The following is a 16,644-nucleotide window of genomic DNA, read 5'->3' as shown; positions in this document are numbered from 1 at the left end:
AAATTAATACAGGCGTGTTAAGTGCAATAATGAAGGCAGGAAAAGGGATTACAGGTTTCAAACTGGGAACCAATTATCTTAGGGCAGTTCAGGATGGCTTCAGGATGATGAGATTTATAAACGGGTTCTTTAAAGATACGTTGGGGAAGGCCGGGCTCGGTGGCTCACGCCTGTAATCCCAGCACTTTGGGAGGCCAAGGCGGGCGGATCACGAGGTCAGGAGATCGAGACCATCCTGGCTAACACGGTGAAACCCCGTCTCTACTAAAAATACAAAAAAAAAAAAATTAGCCAGGCGAAGTGGCGGGCACCTGAAGTCCCAGCTTACTCGGGAGGCTGAGGCAGGAGAATGGCGTGAACCCAGGAGGCGGAGCTTGCAGTGAGCCGAGATCCTGCCGCTGCACTCCAGCCTGGGCGACAGAGAGAGACTCCGTCTCAAAAAAAAAAAAAAAAAGCCTGGGGAAAAGGCTAGGGCACGTCAGAGGAAACAGCTGGGCCAAAAGTTTTGGGATGGAGGAACGCATTTAAGTGTGAAGCTAGATCCAGAGGTTGGGGCCATCTCCTGATGGGGCATTATCTAGGCAATCTCGAATACGGATCTTTATGATAGTTTCTGCTCTGCCACCTTTCAAGTTGTAGGTGGCCCCAATAAGGAGAGGAATCGTCCCAGAATAATCCATAAAAGGTCTGGTTACTCTGACAGACGTGCCGTAACCGAACCTCAAACCCCGTCTCCAATTCGGATGTTCAGGAGGACTCACAAAAGGAAATGGCTCGGCTGGGCGCGGTGGCTCAACCCGGTAATCCCAGCATTTAGGGAGGCCGAGGCGGGCGGATCTCCTGAGGTCAGGAGTTCGATACCAGCCTAGCCAACATGGTGAAACCCCGTCTCTACTAAAAATACAAAAATGAGCCGGGCGTGGTGGCGGGCGCCTGTAATCTCAGCTACTTGGGAGGCTGCGGAGCGAGAGTCGCTTGAACCCGGGAGGCGAAGGTTGCAGTGAGCCGAAATCGCGCCATTGCACTCCAGCCTGGGCAACAAGAGCGAAACTCCGTCTTAAAAAAAAAAAGGGATGGTGGGGGAAAACGGCTCGAGTGCCGAAACTGGGACAAGAGAGATGGGGCTTGCCGGCATTCAGGAGCCTTTCTGTCATTCCAAGAGGGGGGAAGTGAGGAAGGAAGACCGTCTCAGAATGTCCTTCCGGGGCGCCTAGAGGGCCCCAGTAAAGAATAAAGCTGGTTGGCACCGGATGTGTTTTCTTCCAGGCTAAGTCCATCTTCCGGCTTGGGCAGACGCTGCCGCGGAATCCTTGACTCTAGTTTTCTGAGTCGGTGAGTGAGTGCAAAGTAGATTCCTCAGGTGGAGGGTGCCTGAGGAAGAGGAGGAGGAGGAGGAGGACAGCTGGGCTCGGCCCCGGAGTGGCTAATCTTGTGCTGCAACCACTGGGCCGACAGGGCCTTGGCCCTTCGCAGGGTTGCCTCCAGAATACCTGTGTGCTGAACCTGGCATCCGGTTTCAGTTCAGCAGATGTTCCCTGAGCTCCTCCTGCTCTGTGTGGGCCCCTGAGCTCGGTGCAGGAACACAGATGCATCAGGCACCATCTCGCGGTGCTCAGAGAGCAGCTGACTCTCTCTGGTTGAAACGGGAGGTGGAGTCATATTAGTTTTACTTGATTTGGGCTTAAAGGAGCCTAATCACTAGCTGAAAAAAGGAACTGGAAACGCGAATGTAAGAAATGTGTATTCGTGTCTTTTTGTCTGGGTAATGATGGAAAAATTTAGTATTGAACGAGGTTCGAGTATGAAAAAGAGAATAGAAGGTGATAAAGCCATAAAGATGGGTTAGAGCCAAATCGTGATGGGTCTCGTATTCTTTCCTAAGAAATCTGGACTGTCCCGGAGGTAGAGAAGAACGATAGAAGATTTAAAGCAGAAAAGGGAAATTAAAAATAAAATAAAATAAGGGTTGTTAATCCTGGTGGCACTCAGGCGGGTAATCTGGCATACAGAAGAGTGTGGTATAAAGAAGACCTGTTGGAAGACATTGCAGTTGTCCAGGTGAACCGGAAGGAGGACCTGTTGTAGTGGTGGGGAGTAGGAAGTTTGGAGATTACGTTAAAGTTGCTAATTGGATATATTATGTTAAATCAACTTTTTGGTGGTCACAGTGCTTATATTGGATATTCAAAATTGATAGATTGTTCTTGACCACAAGGCACACAACATTTAGCAAAAGAAACAAGCTAGAAACTGTTCACTACAATTCATTGTAATGAATGTTGTAACAAAGTTATGAAAAATGTGCTATGAGATCATAGAGAAGTGCATTATAAAGTTCTCGTTTTGAGATGGTGGCATAAAGGTTCATAACACCTACATTAGACTTTGAGTCTTCTTCTTCCTAATTCAGGTTTGGGGTTTTTCGTTTGTTTTCACCATTACAGCATGGGAAAGCATTCCCTATCCTTATTACATCAATGTTTGTGTTTTATTTTGCTTAGATTGTGATCATGGCTGCTGAGTCTGATGTTCTGCATTTCCAGTTTGAACAGCAAGGAGATGTGGTCTTGCAGAAAATGAATCTTTTGAGACAGCAGAATTTATTTTGTGATGTATCAATTTACATTAATGACACTGAGTTCCAGGGGCACAAGGTGATTTTGGCTGCTTGCTCCACTTTTATGAGAGATCAGTTTTTACTCACACAGTCAAAACATGTCAGAATCACCATCTTACAGAGTGCAGAAGTTGGCAGAAAATTGTTACTGTCTTGCTATACTGGAGCACTTGAAGTTAAAAGGAAAGAGCTTTTGAAATACTTGACTGCTGCCAGTTACCTTCAGATGGTTCACATTGTGGAAAAGTGCACAGAAGCTTTGTCAAAGTATCTGGAAATTGATCTTTCTATGAAAAACAACAACCAACACACTGACCTGTGTCAGTCTTCTGATCCTGATGTTAAGAATGAAGATGAAAATTCTGATAAAGACTGTGAGATAATTGAAATTTCAGAAGATAGTCCTGTAAACATAGATTTCCATGTTAAAGAAGAGGAAAGCAATGCTTTGCAGTCTACAGTAGAGAGTCTGACATCAGAGAGAAAGGAAATGAAGTCACCAGAGCTGTCTACAGTAGACATAGGTTTTAAAGACAATGAAATTTGTATCCTTCATGTAGAATCCATCAGTACAGCTGGTGTCGAAAATGGGCAGTTTTCACAGCCTTGTACCTCTTCAAAAGCAAGCATGTATTTCTCTGAAACACAGCATTCATTGATCAATTCTACAGTTGAGAGCAGAGTGGCTGAAGTTCCTGGGAATCAAGATCAGGGCTTATTTTGTGAGAATACTGAAGGAAGTTATGGTACAGTGAGTGAGATTCAGAATCTGGAGGAAGGTTATTCACTGAGGCACCAGTGCCCCAGGTGTCCTCGAGGCTTTCTTCATGTTGAAAACTATCTGCGCCACCTTAAAATGCATAAACTATTCTTATGCTTACAGTGCGGAAAAACATTTACACAGAAGAAAAATCTCAACCGACACATCCGAGGACACATGGGCATACGGCCCTTTCAGTGTACTGTGTGCTTGAAGACATTTACTGCCAAAAGCACACTTCAGGACCACTTGAACATACACAGTGGGGATCGGCCATACAAATGCCACTGTTGTGATATGGATTTCAAGCACAAGTCTGCTCTCAAAAAGCACTTAACCTCTGTCCATGGCAGAAGCAGTGGTGAAAAACTATCTAGGCCTGATCTCAAAAGGCAAAGTCTACTATAATTATAATCACAGACTTGTTATATAAAGTTTGTATTATTCTATTACGCAAGTCTTTCTGTAGAGATGCAGCATTTGTAATATTTCATCCCCCCAATCTTTGTTTCTTATATTTTGTCGGCTTACACATAATCATTCTTTCTGAACTTCTAACAGTTCCAAAGTTATGGGAGGCACAGTAAAGCTGATGGGATTCTGTCTCATCTCATACCTTACATATAAGTCTCAGTAGTATCCCTAGAGAAATAGTGTTCCTCTCTTATATATTCTTGATTCTAGTGACAAAGGATCCAGCAGTATTTGCAGATTCCGATTTGGAGTCTCTAGGTAATTGATTTAAGTATAAAATCCAATCATATAAAAACTTTAATGAATTAGGATAACAAGAAGAGAAAATAAAGGTAAAAACACTATTACCTGTTTCTAGTCACTTTAGAACAGATGGCACTAAAAAAATTTTTTTTTAACTTTTTACCAGCTGTTCTTGGATTCCAAACTAAACACCAAGATACTTTTCATTTTAAAATGTATAAAGTAACAATTCAGATTCACTTGGGAATAGCAGAATTTTTTTATACAGGGTTAATAATCCTTAAAATACTTTTATTTCCATGCCTTATTAGTATACATACTTAAGAAATGGTTCATTGGGCCCGAGTTTCTTGATTTTATTTAATACAATCGGATTTAATAATTTTGTGGCCAGTAAAATTATACCATTGGCATGAAGCTGTGAAAAATGAGAAATTCTACCTTTACCAGGGATATCTGTTCTACTGTTTTAAAAGTTCCTCTCTATTTTATTTTTTATTTAACATGAAGTAAAATTGAAATTTCTTCTTGGTGTATAGTTCTGTGAATTTTAACAGAAAGATTTGTGCACCACTACTGCAGTCGGTACAGAACAGTTCCTTCACTCCCAATAGCTCTCTTATGCTGTCCCTTTGTAGTCAGCTCCTTCTAGCTCTAATCCTGGCAACAGTTCTCCGTCACTATTATTTTGCCTTTTCTGGACTGTCATATAAACAGAATCTTATAGTACGTTCCCTCTTGAAATGCTTTTTCACCCAGCATAATGACTTTGAGGTTCATCCATGTCATTTTAAATTTTGAATTGGCAATATATATTCTAGCTGTTACTAGATGAGCAATTTAAAAAGGTGTAGCTATTAGTGTTGTATTTTTTCATTTACATTAATGTAATTTCCATTCACTATGTGTTGATAAAAATCTTAACCATCCCTAGAGTTTTATATTTCCAAAAATATGCCAAAAGGAAAACTATGACTGTATGATTATTTTAGCGAGAGTCATATTTGAGATGGTGTTCTGAGCCATAGTTCTCTAACATCTCCGTCTACATATAACACAAAACTTTTATAAATTATTTTAACAAAGATTAAAATATACTGCAGGGCAAATAATATTCTCTAAAACACAGGAACTGCTTTTCGTAAAGAAGACTGACTAGATGCATCTTTCTTTGAAGCTGTTCTAGTCCTCCTCTAGTTAACTTAGCTTTATGTAGAATTTCTACTGTATTTAATTTCTATTGAAGCCCTTCTGTATTTTAAAATGTAATATACTTTGTACCATTTATAAAAATTGTGTGATGAATGAATCACATGTTCGTTGTTATAAGTGTTAACCTTTTTTTGACAATTTTGTGGGAAAGACATTCTCCACTGAATTTTAACTTTCCTTGAGACTTTCAAGAATGCAGGTCTCGTTTGATGAAAAAACCGACTTCATAACCCAATGTTACTAGTTAGCGACATTGTGCTGAATTTCTCCTTGAACTTTTTAACTTTATATGTAAAATAACTTTGATCTTGGTCATTTGAAAGATCATTTCCAGGTCTAAAATTCCATGATTTTGTATTTAATTCTTCCTGAGAACAGAAGAGGGGAAAGCAAGAGAGGACGGTTTTGTGTCTTTATGAACTTTGTTACTTAAGTACTCCATTGGAGACATAATTTTTCTAATTAGTGGATCTTTTTCCACTGGAAAGTGTGATAGCTCATTGCTAATTTTTCATTCATAGTTCATTGCTTCCATTTGACCTAAGATTGGCCATTTGTTGGTGTGAAAATATTTTCTTTTCAGAAATAGTTTACTAGTGATTGAAGTACTTTTCTTATTTTTGCTTCCTATTATAAAATGGCGTGGGGGGAAGGGGGAAGGATGGAGATGGGAGGAGAGGGTAAAAGAATAGTACTCTGATTTTTTAAGAATTAGTATCTACTATCTTGGATATTTGAAAAAAAATTGGTTGAAACTATGTTTAAGTTTTATGTGTGCCTTGTAAGATTGTTGTAAAATTTTTTGTGAGCACTTTGAGATTTTTGCTGGGGGAGGGGTGTTTTGTGAAAGTGATGGTTATTATTTATATTATTTATTCCTGTTCAGTAGCACGGAATGATCTCCAAACATTCCTAGGAGAGTGTCTGTTTGCATGATATGTCTAAAAATTTTCAGGAAAATGGAATCTTTTTTTAAAGTTCAGGTATGACAAAGTATAGAATTTATTCATTTAACATATTCACATTTAGTTTATGTTTCTGATATGACAGAAAAATGAAAAGTGTTTGAGTTCAGCCTCTTCATTTACTCCATTTACATATAAAAGATCTTGAAAAGGTAGTTGTTACTTCGTTGTCAGAGAAAAACACTTGCCCTTTTTCCTGGGATGTAACTATCTTACATGTTTACATAAGAAATAATAAACTGGAGGTGGGAATGGAGAACAATGTGTTTTGTCTTCATCTTTGAATTTTAAAGGATACAATTTAAAGGATACAATTTCTCCTGACTATACATTAATCATTCATCTAGCAAATACTTCCTGAGTCCTTACAATGAAATATAAGTTAGGTATACAGACAAAAATTCCTGCTCTTGTGAAACATCTTAGTGAAGGGAGACAAACAGTAAACAAGTAAGTAAAATCCATGTATGTCAAATTTTGAGAAGGAATTTGGAGAAAAATCAGGAATAGGGAGTACCAGAGAAGGGGGATGGAATTGCAATTTTAAATATGGTGGTCAGCGCCGGGCGCCGAGGCTCAGGCCTGTAATCCTAACACTTAGGGAGGCCGAGGCTGGCAGATCACTTGAGGTCAGGAGTTTGAGACAAGCCTGGCCAACCTGATGAAAACCCTTCACTAAAAATACAAAAATTAGCCGGGCATGGTAGCGCTTGCCTGTAATCCCAGCTACTCGGGAGTCTGAGACAGGAGAATCCGTTGAACCTGGGAGGCAGAGGTTGCAGTAAGCCAATATCGCACCGCTGCAGTCAGCCTAACTGAGGGAGCAAGACCCCATCTCAAAAATAAATATGGTGACCAGGACACCTTTGAAAAATCTCGGATTATCAGAAATATATATTCTTCTGTCTAGTGAAATGTAAATATATCCAGTAGAATAGAAAAATTTGGCCTGGACTGGTGGCTCACGCCTGCAATCCCAGCACTTTTGGAGGCCGAGGCAGGCGGGTCTTCTGAGGTCAGGAGTTCAAGACCAGCCTGGCCAACATGGTGAAAACCCGTCTCTACAAAAATACAAAAAAGAAATTTAGCCGGGCATGATGACGGGTGCCTGTAATTCCAGCTACTGGGGAGGCTAAGGCAGGAGAATTCCTTGAACCCAGGAGGTGGAGGTTGCAGTGAGCTGAGATCACACCATTGCACTCCAGCCTGTGTGACAGAGTGAGACTCCGTCTCAAAAAAAAAAATATGTACATATATGTATATATAATGTGTATGTTTATATGTGTATATATACTTATATGTATCTATATATGTGTATATATATTTATATGTATGTATATATGTATATATGTGCATATATGTATATATGTGTGTATATATATATATACACAGTAGGGTGGAAAACAAATATGTACATGTAAATTACCTATCACTGTCCAGTTGAAATTACTGAAACAATTATTGGTTGTTAACAGTTCTCTAGGCCTGGCATATGTTTCATAAAGAGAAGAGAACGAAAAAGATAATGTGTGGAAGAAACGTCTTCGATGTGGCCAATGAATCTTTTTTCAAAAACACTGATTTTTGCCTGTCATTCAGACAAATATAATAGGTAATAACTATATATTTTGTTAAAACTGTAGAAGCAACCTTTCCATATTCTAATTTATCGTAGGTTTACTTCGATATTTTTGTTGTTGGGCATCTGATTTCACATTGGAAAGTGCCTTGAGTTTAATTACAAGTCATGGTCATTTTTTTTCTTCTTTTTTTTGTTGAGACGGAGTCTGGCACTGCCCCCCCGCCTGGCTGTAGTGCAATGGCGCGGTCTCGGCTCACTGCAACCTCCGTCTCCCGGGTTCAAGTGATTCTCCTGCCTCAGCCCCCCGAGTAGCTGGGATTACAGGTGCCCGCCACCACACCCGGCTAATTTTTGTATTTTTAGTAGAGCCAGGGTTTCACTATGTTGGCCAGACTGGTCTCTAACTTCTGACCTGGCGGTCCACCCGCTTCGGCCTCCCAAAGTGCTGGTATTACAGGCATCAGCCACCGCGCCCGGCGTCATGGTCATTTTCTAGCCTACATTCTTTAGTTTCTCATCAGTAACAAGGGGTACATTGTATCTGTCTTCTAGGATCACTTTGCTAATTAAATGAAATGTAAATAAAACTAAAATATTTAAAATTAAATATCACCTAACACAGGACCTGCCTGACACATACTAAGTAGTTTATAAATGTTAATTCTGATATCCCTATTCCAAGTCTGTTTCATCTATAAATTATAAACTGTAAGAATAATTCTTACCTTAGTTCGCTGTGTAAAAAGCTTCAACAAATATTTGAGATATGATGCCAGAATTTGTGCTTAAATTTTTTATTTTTGCCAGCTTTTGAGGAGCTCAGAGCTTTCTTCCCCCCCTCCCCCCCCCACTTTGGACTCTTTGTCTAGAAACAGAGTTTTCTCTTTAATAAAGAAGTGAGATGTGGAAGTGCCTGCCAAATACATGTTTTCTTCTTGTTTTTGTAATGGGGAGATTACTTGACATCTTTGTAAAGGGATTGAGGGATCCTGTCGGCATGTCATCACAGGAGTGTGAAGAAGAATGTGACACAGATGTATCAGATTCTGCTCAATGGATTCCACGCTTTTCACGAAGGGAGTTAAGACACTCGCTCAAACCAGCGTCTAGGAAGCCGGCTCAAGGCGCAGATGAATGTGCAGGGAATTTCCCATCAATCCCTTCGGCTTGCCTAGTCCTTCTCACAGTACCTCCCACAGTGCTCCGGGGCTCCCTTGTCACGTGATCGGGGTGGATCCGCTGAGGCAGAGGGAAGTTGATTCGCAGTTTGGGTGGCTGGGGCTACTACGCTTTCCTTCCAACTCCCGACTCCCGGGCTTGCGTAATCTCGCGTTAAGTGGGGAGTAACTTCTCGCGAGAGCTAGATCGGGATCCCTCCAGGTCCGCCTCCGTGGTGAGGAGGAGGAGGAGGAGGAGGCGGAGGTGGAGGGAGGAGGAGGAGGCCCCGTCGCGGCCTTCGCCGCCGCCAACGGGGCTGTCCCTGTAGCTCCCGATGGAGTTTGAGGTCGTGAAACCTCCGCCGAGCTCTGCCCCGGCGAGACGAGGCGCCTCCGTCGCCAAGCCGCGCCGTCGCGGGGCTCCCGGGAGCGGCCCTTAGCGACCCCGCCCGGGCCCCCTCAGGTAGGGCGGGGGCGGGCACGATGCGGCTCGGGCCCCAGCCCGGGTGCCTGGTCCCCGGCGGTCGGGCGGGAGACCAGTCTCAGCCCTGGGGCCTGTGCGCTGTCGCCCCTGGTGCCTCGAGGGTTGGGAACTGAGGGCCGCACCTGACACTCGGATGGAACCCGGGCCCTGCGGAGGCCCCTCTCTCTGGTAGGGCTTTTTCGATGCGGAGCGACCGGCTCAAATGGCCACCTTCCTTCGACACTGGCCGAGCGGACGCCTCTGACCCCTAACGAACCCACCCAAGCAAAGGCCCGGCTTCACTCTCCCTTTTCTACACCAGTTAGTAAGGGGGTTTGGAAGAGGTCCTCGAAACCAAGTCTTCTCCTAGCTTTTCAGCTTTCTGCCCTGGGGCTTCCCGAGACCCTAGCGTAGAGGGTGGTGGAGGCGATCTGAGTGGTAAATAGGAACCCCGGCCAAACAATGCCCTGGGAGGGCTTAACCTCCCAGGATGGGGACGGCCGGACCTGAGTGGTTGCACAGGGGTTGTGGCTAGGAGCAATGGCATGAAACACAGCCAGGAAATTCTGCTATGGCTTTCTTCTTTCCCTCTCTCATTTTTCCTTTTTGGTGTAGCCTCTTGAGGAGACTCTTCCACCATCTTAGAAGAATGGTAGAAAGCATCTTTGTTTCCCAGAGAAGCAGCTGTACTTTTTTCTATCCTTAGCTTTCAGGATGGGAGAAGATGAGGGTAGCTGTCATTTCCATCCTTCAAATCCCAAGGCAGCCGTTTAAGATACCGGCAGATAAATCCTTCACACCAAAATTGACTCAAGTAATCACTGGCATAAAGTAAATCTAATCCAGTGATTTATTTATATTTTCATAACCCTTGGGTTCCCTTTTTAATTCCTCCTCTCCCCTTACCCACGGCCTTCCTTTTTTTCATTTCTACTCTCCCCCTACCCATTGTGGGTGGGTGAGTTTGTATCCCAAATAAAGTGCTTTAAGTAATCTTTTTTCCAATTTTGTATTGGCCAAACTTTTAAGTTCCAGTAGGAACTTTTGGTTAACCTGAGAAAGCTAACGTTGCTATACCACAGTGGTATAAAGTCACTCAAAAGCAAAGAAACAAATGTTAGCCAGTGCAGCCTTTTAATGGTTAAACATACAAACTTAGTTAAAAGCTTTTTACGATATTAAGAATATTAATAGATTCTCCTTTTTAAAAAACCTTTTAGCTGTCTAAAAAGCTATACCACTGTTGTAGCTTCACATGCCTTTCTTACGTTGTTTACTTCCACGTTCAATTTTTGAAGAAATAGAGGTCGTTACATCCTGTTAAAGACTGCTTTTCAATATTGACATTTTCGTTGATTTGGAGATTAATGTTTTCAAAATTTTAGAGTTTGGAAAATTGCTAGGAGGACAGAATGTGAAACATATTCTAGTTACGTTTAGAAAAAGCAGATGTTATAATTCAAACAGGCACTTGTTCTATGAGGATTTAATTACACTCGTGTTCATTAGTGGATCCTTTGAGTTACCCCTGATCTGTTATTTCTGTTGTGGTAACCTGACATGTAAGAAGACTTACGTCCTTTGTTCATATATTTTTGTTAAATCATACTCTGCTTTTGTAATTTGCTGTCTTCCACTTTGAAAAAACCAAAAATTTGCATTTTGGCAAAGCATTCTTCTTTACACTCAGGATTTTATATTCAAAAGTTGAACTTCTACATTGTTTGCAATAGCTAAGAACGCTAAAAAAAACTTCATAACAAGGTTTTAGTAACTACTTACTGTTTAGTTTGTACCGTGTTGAAGTTTCACTTTTTAGTGATGGAAAAAGGAAGCATGGGTAAAATAAAGCTAGCTGAAAATTAAAAATAAGTTCATGTTTTGCATCCAGTCTCATGAATGTTATGATCAGCGTCTCTAATTTTACTAAAGCTTTAAGTGTAAGTGTGAGTTTTACCTCAATTTCCTGATAAAAGTTCTAAGTATTACTTTATAATTTAAATATTCTAGAGTTGCACTGTCCAGTACTAGCCAGTGGCCACATGTGACAGTTGAAGATTTGAAATGTGGCTTCTGTGAATTGAGATGTGCTTTAGGTGTAAAATACCAGATTTCAAAGACTTAGTACCAAGATTTTTTTTAATATCTCAGTAATTTTAATATTGACAACATGTTGAAATGATATTTTGTATAAACTGGGATAAATAAAATATATTACTAAAAATAATTTTAGCTATTTTAACTTTTTTTTTTTTTTTTTTGAGACAGTCTCTCTCTATCACCCATGCTGGAGTGCAGTGGCACCATTCGGGTTCACTGCAACCTCTGCTTCCAGGTTCAAGCAATTCTCATGCCTCAGACTCCTGAGTAGTTGGGATTACAGGAAGGCACCACTACACCAGGCTAATTTTTGTATTTTTAGTAGAGATGGGGTTTTGCCATGTTGACCAGGCTGGTCTGGAACTCATGACCTCAAGTGATCCACCCACCTCCCGCCTCCGCCTCCCAAAGTGCTGGGATTACAGGCGTGAGCCACCACGCCTAGCCTCTTTTAACCTTTTTTAATGTGACTACCAGAAAATTAAAAATTACTCGGATTATAATGGCTCACATATTTCTATCGGATATTACTGTTGTAGATCAGCATTACTCTTCCAAGAAATATGTTAGTGGAATAAAAGTAGATGTATAAAAACCCAAAACTTCCAGATAGATTATCCTGTTACAATCAGAATAATTAAAGAGCTAAGGACTTTGGTAATATGAAGGATGAAGTTATCCATTGGCTATGATTTGATAGGCAGAAGTAAGTTCTATCTCAAAGAAAGTATTTTTCTCGTCATCACTAATATTAGTTATACTTGTTAAAATAGAAAGTTGGCTGGGCGCGGTGGCTCACGCCTGTAATCCCAGCACTTTGGAAGGCTGAGGCGGGTGGATCACCTGAGGTCAGGAGTTCGAGACCAGCCTGACCAACATGGATAAACCCCATCTCTACTAAAATTACAAAAAATTAGCTGGGCCTGGTGGCGCATGCCTGTAATCCCAGCTACTCCGGAGGCTGAGGCAGGAGAATCGCTTGAACCCGGGAGACGGAGGTTGCAGTGAGCCGAGATCGCGCCATTGCACTACAGCCTGGGCAACAAGAGCGAAACTCCGTCTCAAAAAAAAAAAAAAAAAAGAAGTAGTTATCTCATTATTGCCCTATTAGAATGCATTGAGACTGGGCGCCGAGGCTCATGCCTGTAATCCCAGGACTTTGGGAGGCCAAGGTGGGCAGATCACGAGGTCAGGAGTTTGAGATCAGCCTGACCCACAGGTGAAACCCTGTCTCTACTAAAAATACAAAAATTAACCGGGCATGGTGGTGCGCACTTGTAATCCCAGCTACTCAGGAGGCTGAGGCAGGAGAATCGTATGAAACCGGGAGGCGGAGGTTGCAGTGAGCCGAAATCGCACCACCGCACTCCAGCCTAGGCAACAGAGTGAGACTCCTCCATCTCAAAAAAAAAAAAAAAAAAAAGAATGCATTGGAAGTTATATCTAATATTTATTTTAAAACAGTTCAACCACATAGTGTATTTAAGAAGTAAAATTTGAGTCATATATACTTCACACGTTAACGGCAAAATCACATATTATAGCAGTCTTTTAAATTGCAATTCAATTCCTTTTTCTCCAGTACTGAGTTTCTAGCTTACAGGTTGTTTCCATTGCTGTTTTGGTTTTTACTTGTCTTTTAGCTAGAGATCCAAATTGTGCTTATGCTTTAAATATCATTTTTTAAGAACAAAACTAATTATTTTTAAGTTTTCTAAACGGGGAAGTACTGTGACAGTCCATTTCAGTAGCTTATATTCCTCACATAGGTTAACAAGAATGAAAACAATGGTTTTAATTAGAAGAACTAAGCCCTAAGGTTTACATTTTTATTAAGAGAATTGTAAAATGATGTATACATATATGACAGTTAAAGAAGCATAAACTTTATTCTGGCATTTTAAAATCAGATGCCGTAGACCTGAACTGGCTGCATAATATGGTGGACTAATAAGAGAAAATGAAAGTATTTAGCTGGCTCTTAATAAAGCAGTTTGTAATTTGAATCATATAAGAGATGCCTATTGTGCTTCCTGTTTTATGTGTCAGCACTCATAGCAAGGAACTTACAGTCTGGAAAATTATTTGAGCGAAAAATTGTTTATGGTCCCACCTTTAATTTAGCATTTCTCACTCCTATGCTTTATCTTATTATCCTTTTTCAATTTTTGTAACTGGTAACTAAAATTAGTTAATACAAATAATTAGAATGTTTTTCTTAAGGAATCACTTTAGGTATCTTGAGTTGTAGGCCTTTTAGTCCATTTTATCTCAGTTTGAAATGTTTTGATTATTTGAGAAGAATACTTCAGTAGTAACTATAAATATTCATAGCAATTTAGACTTACATAGACTCAAATAAGTTGCATAAAATGTATTAGTATAGGTCTAGAAGTTTTGCAAATTAATATGTAGTCTTAGTGCTCCATGGTTCATTTATATGCTCTTTAAATTATAAAAACTATAGGATATTTACCATTTTTGGTAGTTACAAAAATATTTTCTAGGTAAATGTTTACAAAGTGCCTGTTTTGAAGGAATGAAGTTTCTTCTATGTTTTAGGTAAAATTTTATATTGATTTATCTTAATTAAGGAATCTAGGATTTACTGATAATATTACTGAAGAAAAACATATTTGGAAAATCAAAGCGTTTCTTACATCTGATCGTATAAGGGAAGTTTAGTTGATAATTTACTGTCAGAAAGCTAGACTCTGACACAGAGAAGAAAATTTGGTAGAGTTATTGCCAAAATTTTGGCAGTGTTTTACCTTTATATCTTAAAGGTATTAATTCAATTTGTGGTAGAAATTAAACTTCTCAGTATTAATTATGTTAAAACCTCTGATGTTTCTATGCTGAAACACACTAAGGACTATTGTAACATAAAACTATACTAAGGACTATTGTAACATAAAACTATTAAGTGTGCTCTGGTATAGTTTGAAACAGTTTAAAACTGTGTAGTAGGTGACAATATGAAAGATAGCATTTTTCTGTATGGTTGAAACTCCCCCACCCCAAGCCCCACACTTATGTGCTTTAATATAAAGCATTTCAGAAAGGCTTTGGAAAACTAAGGAAAAGGTATTTGCTCTTATTTTGTACTACCAGGTGGCCTGTGATACCCTAACCCACAGAATTAACATTTCCAAACAGGTGGCCATTATGAAAAACTACACGCAGTGTCCTGTTTTCATAAATATTTAATCAGTTCAAGTTATTAACTATATTAGGGCTTTCAGTAGATTTAAGATGAAATTCATTCTTCCTCAAAGGCCTTTTCTTGTATAACTCTGCAAACCAGAAAACTGGATGTTAAAAATGTTCAGTAGTTTTAGGGAGTGATATATTCATCTGCTCAGTGCTTATCTCTAAAGTTGGAAGGAAACTAATTGGTTTTTAGATTGATGGCATTAATAGATGTGGTAATTTGAGGATGAAAGTTGTAAAATTATAACTTGGAAGATTTGGTTACTTTAAAGATAACGATATTAGATAATTTGCATTAGAGCTGTTTGAGAAAGTTTGTATAGGGGTGCTTTTTACATAGCAAGCCCTGTAATTCATTTTTACCAAGATTTTTTTTAATCTCTGTTTTTGTGAATATAAAAGCGCAGGGCCGGGCGCGGTGGCTCACGCCTGCAATCCCAGCACTTTGGGAGGCTGAGGTGGGCAGATCACCTGAGGTCAGGAGTTCAAGACCAGCCTGGCCAACATGGAGAAACCCTGTCTCTACAAAAATTAGCCAGGCATGATGGTGGGTGCCGTCCCAGTTACTTGGGAGGCCAAGGCGGGAGAATCACTTGAACCTGGGAGGCAGAGGTTGCAGTGAGCCAAGATCACACCATTGCACTCCAGTCTGGGCGACAGAGGGAGACTCTGTCTCTGAAAAAAAAAAAAAAAAAAAAAAAAAAAACACAATAAAGGCTAATAGAATTTTTTTGTATGTTGGCATAATTGAGAATACTTTCTGTTATATATTTTTTCTCTTTGAATGTGACTACATTTTTAAACATCTAATTTCTGTGGAACTAATATATTTGGGTTGGTAAACATTCCTGTGAAATAAAGTATTAGTTGTTTGATTGCCCTAAATACCTAGATTTCTTGTTCACCAGAGAGCTTTTGTCAGACTTATGTTAAGTCTTGAATTGGAAGATAAAGAAATTCTGGGAAGTTTAGTGTGTTCAAATTAGTATCGTTTTGCTACTAAATCTTTTACTTTACTAAACTTATGGAACTTTTTTTTTTTTTTTTGAGATTAAGTTTCGCTCTTTTTGTCCAGGCTGGAGTGCGATGACGTGATCTCGGCTCACTGCAATCTCCGCCTTCCACATTCAAGTGATTCTCCTGCCTCAGCCTCCCTAGTAGCTGGAATTACAGGCATGTGCCACCACGTCTGGCTAATTTTGTATTTTTAGTAGAGACAGGGTTTATCCATGTTGGTCAGGCTGTTCTCAAGCTCCTGACCTCAGGTGATCCTCCCACCTCGGCCTCTCAAAGTGCTGGGATTATAGGTGTGAGCCACCACGCCCAGCAGGAACATTTTGATCTCAGAAATAAGAAAAATTCTCTCACTGTTTTTTTCTATGTGCCTTTTCAGTTTTTAATCATGCATATATAACTTTTTAGAATAATGTTTTATTCTTCTGTGTCTTCCTCATTGGACTTTACAGTTTTTGGTTATATATATCAATCGCTAAATAATGTAGTTTTATCAGAAGTATTGTATTGAACAATACAAGATATTTAAGACAATTTTTTTGTTTTACTTTGGCACTGTATGTTGTGGTCAGCATTAGTCTTTCATTTATGAACAAACAGCTCTCTTAATCATCTCTCAGTCATCACAGTCTTCTCTTATATGTTGATTTTCAGTGCCTCATTTTGCTTCCTAGCCAAGTCTTGTCAGAGATTTCCTCTTTCAGGTGGCAAAGCTGTTTTCTTCACACTTGAGTCTCTACAATATTGTTTGGATCAGTAGTTTCCAAAGTTCATTAACTCCTGGCCATACTTTATTATGTTTTGGGGTACTGGTTATCCAAGGGAAACACTTTTTTAAACAACA

At 40.0% G+C, this 16,644-nt stretch overlaps 2 protein-coding genes across 7 annotated transcripts in view, besides 3 other annotated features; both read left to right on the top strand.

Moving 5' to 3' along the window:
- Window positions 1,196–1,425: an enhancer, noted in NCBI's record as "active region_28930". NCBI's record gives its function as "activates an Ori minimal core promoter by ATAC-STARR-seq in GM12878 lymphoblastoid cells {active_cell/tissue: GM12878}" and the evidence as "EXISTENCE:reporter gene assay evidence [ECO:0000049][PMID:35858748]".
- Window positions 1,260–6,527, top strand: ZBTB6 (zinc finger and BTB domain containing 6). The gene is made up of 2 exons (NM_006626.6): window positions 1,260–1,332; window positions 2,502–6,527. Exon 2 carries the CDS (start codon window positions 2,511–2,513, stop codon window positions 3,783–3,785), a length of 1,275 nt encoding a protein of 424 aa, NP_006617.1. The 5' UTR covers window positions 1,260–1,332; window positions 2,502–2,510; the 3' UTR covers window positions 3,786–6,527.
- Window positions 1,436–1,545: an enhancer, noted in NCBI's record as "active region_28929". NCBI's record gives its function as "activates an Ori minimal core promoter by ATAC-STARR-seq in GM12878 lymphoblastoid cells {active_cell/tissue: GM12878}" and the evidence as "EXISTENCE:reporter gene assay evidence [ECO:0000049][PMID:35858748]".
- Window positions 9,120–9,769: a silencer, noted in NCBI's record as "silent region_20243". NCBI's record gives its function as "represses an Ori minimal core promoter by ATAC-STARR-seq in GM12878 lymphoblastoid cells {active_cell/tissue: GM12878}" and the evidence as "EXISTENCE:reporter gene assay evidence [ECO:0000049][PMID:35858748]".
- RC3H2 (ring finger and CCCH-type domains 2) overlaps window positions 9,224–16,644 on the top strand; it is a 60,804-nt gene continuing 53,383 nt past the window's right edge. For all 6 annotated transcript variants that reach the window (NM_001354479.2, NM_001354482.2, NM_001354478.2 and 3 more), the window contains exon 1: window positions 9,224–9,473. The gene's annotated coding sequence lies outside the window, so the exon portion shown is untranslated. The remainder of the gene's footprint in view (window positions 9,474–16,644) is intronic.

Source organism: Homo sapiens, chromosome 9, assembly GCF_000001405.40.
Source record: "Homo sapiens chromosome 9, GRCh38.p14 Primary Assembly".
In the NCBI taxonomy this organism is placed as follows: Eukaryota; Metazoa; Chordata; class Mammalia; order Primates; family Hominidae; genus Homo; species Homo sapiens.
Note: the sequence above shows the minus strand (reverse complement) of the source record. Positions and strands in the feature narration are given on the sequence as shown.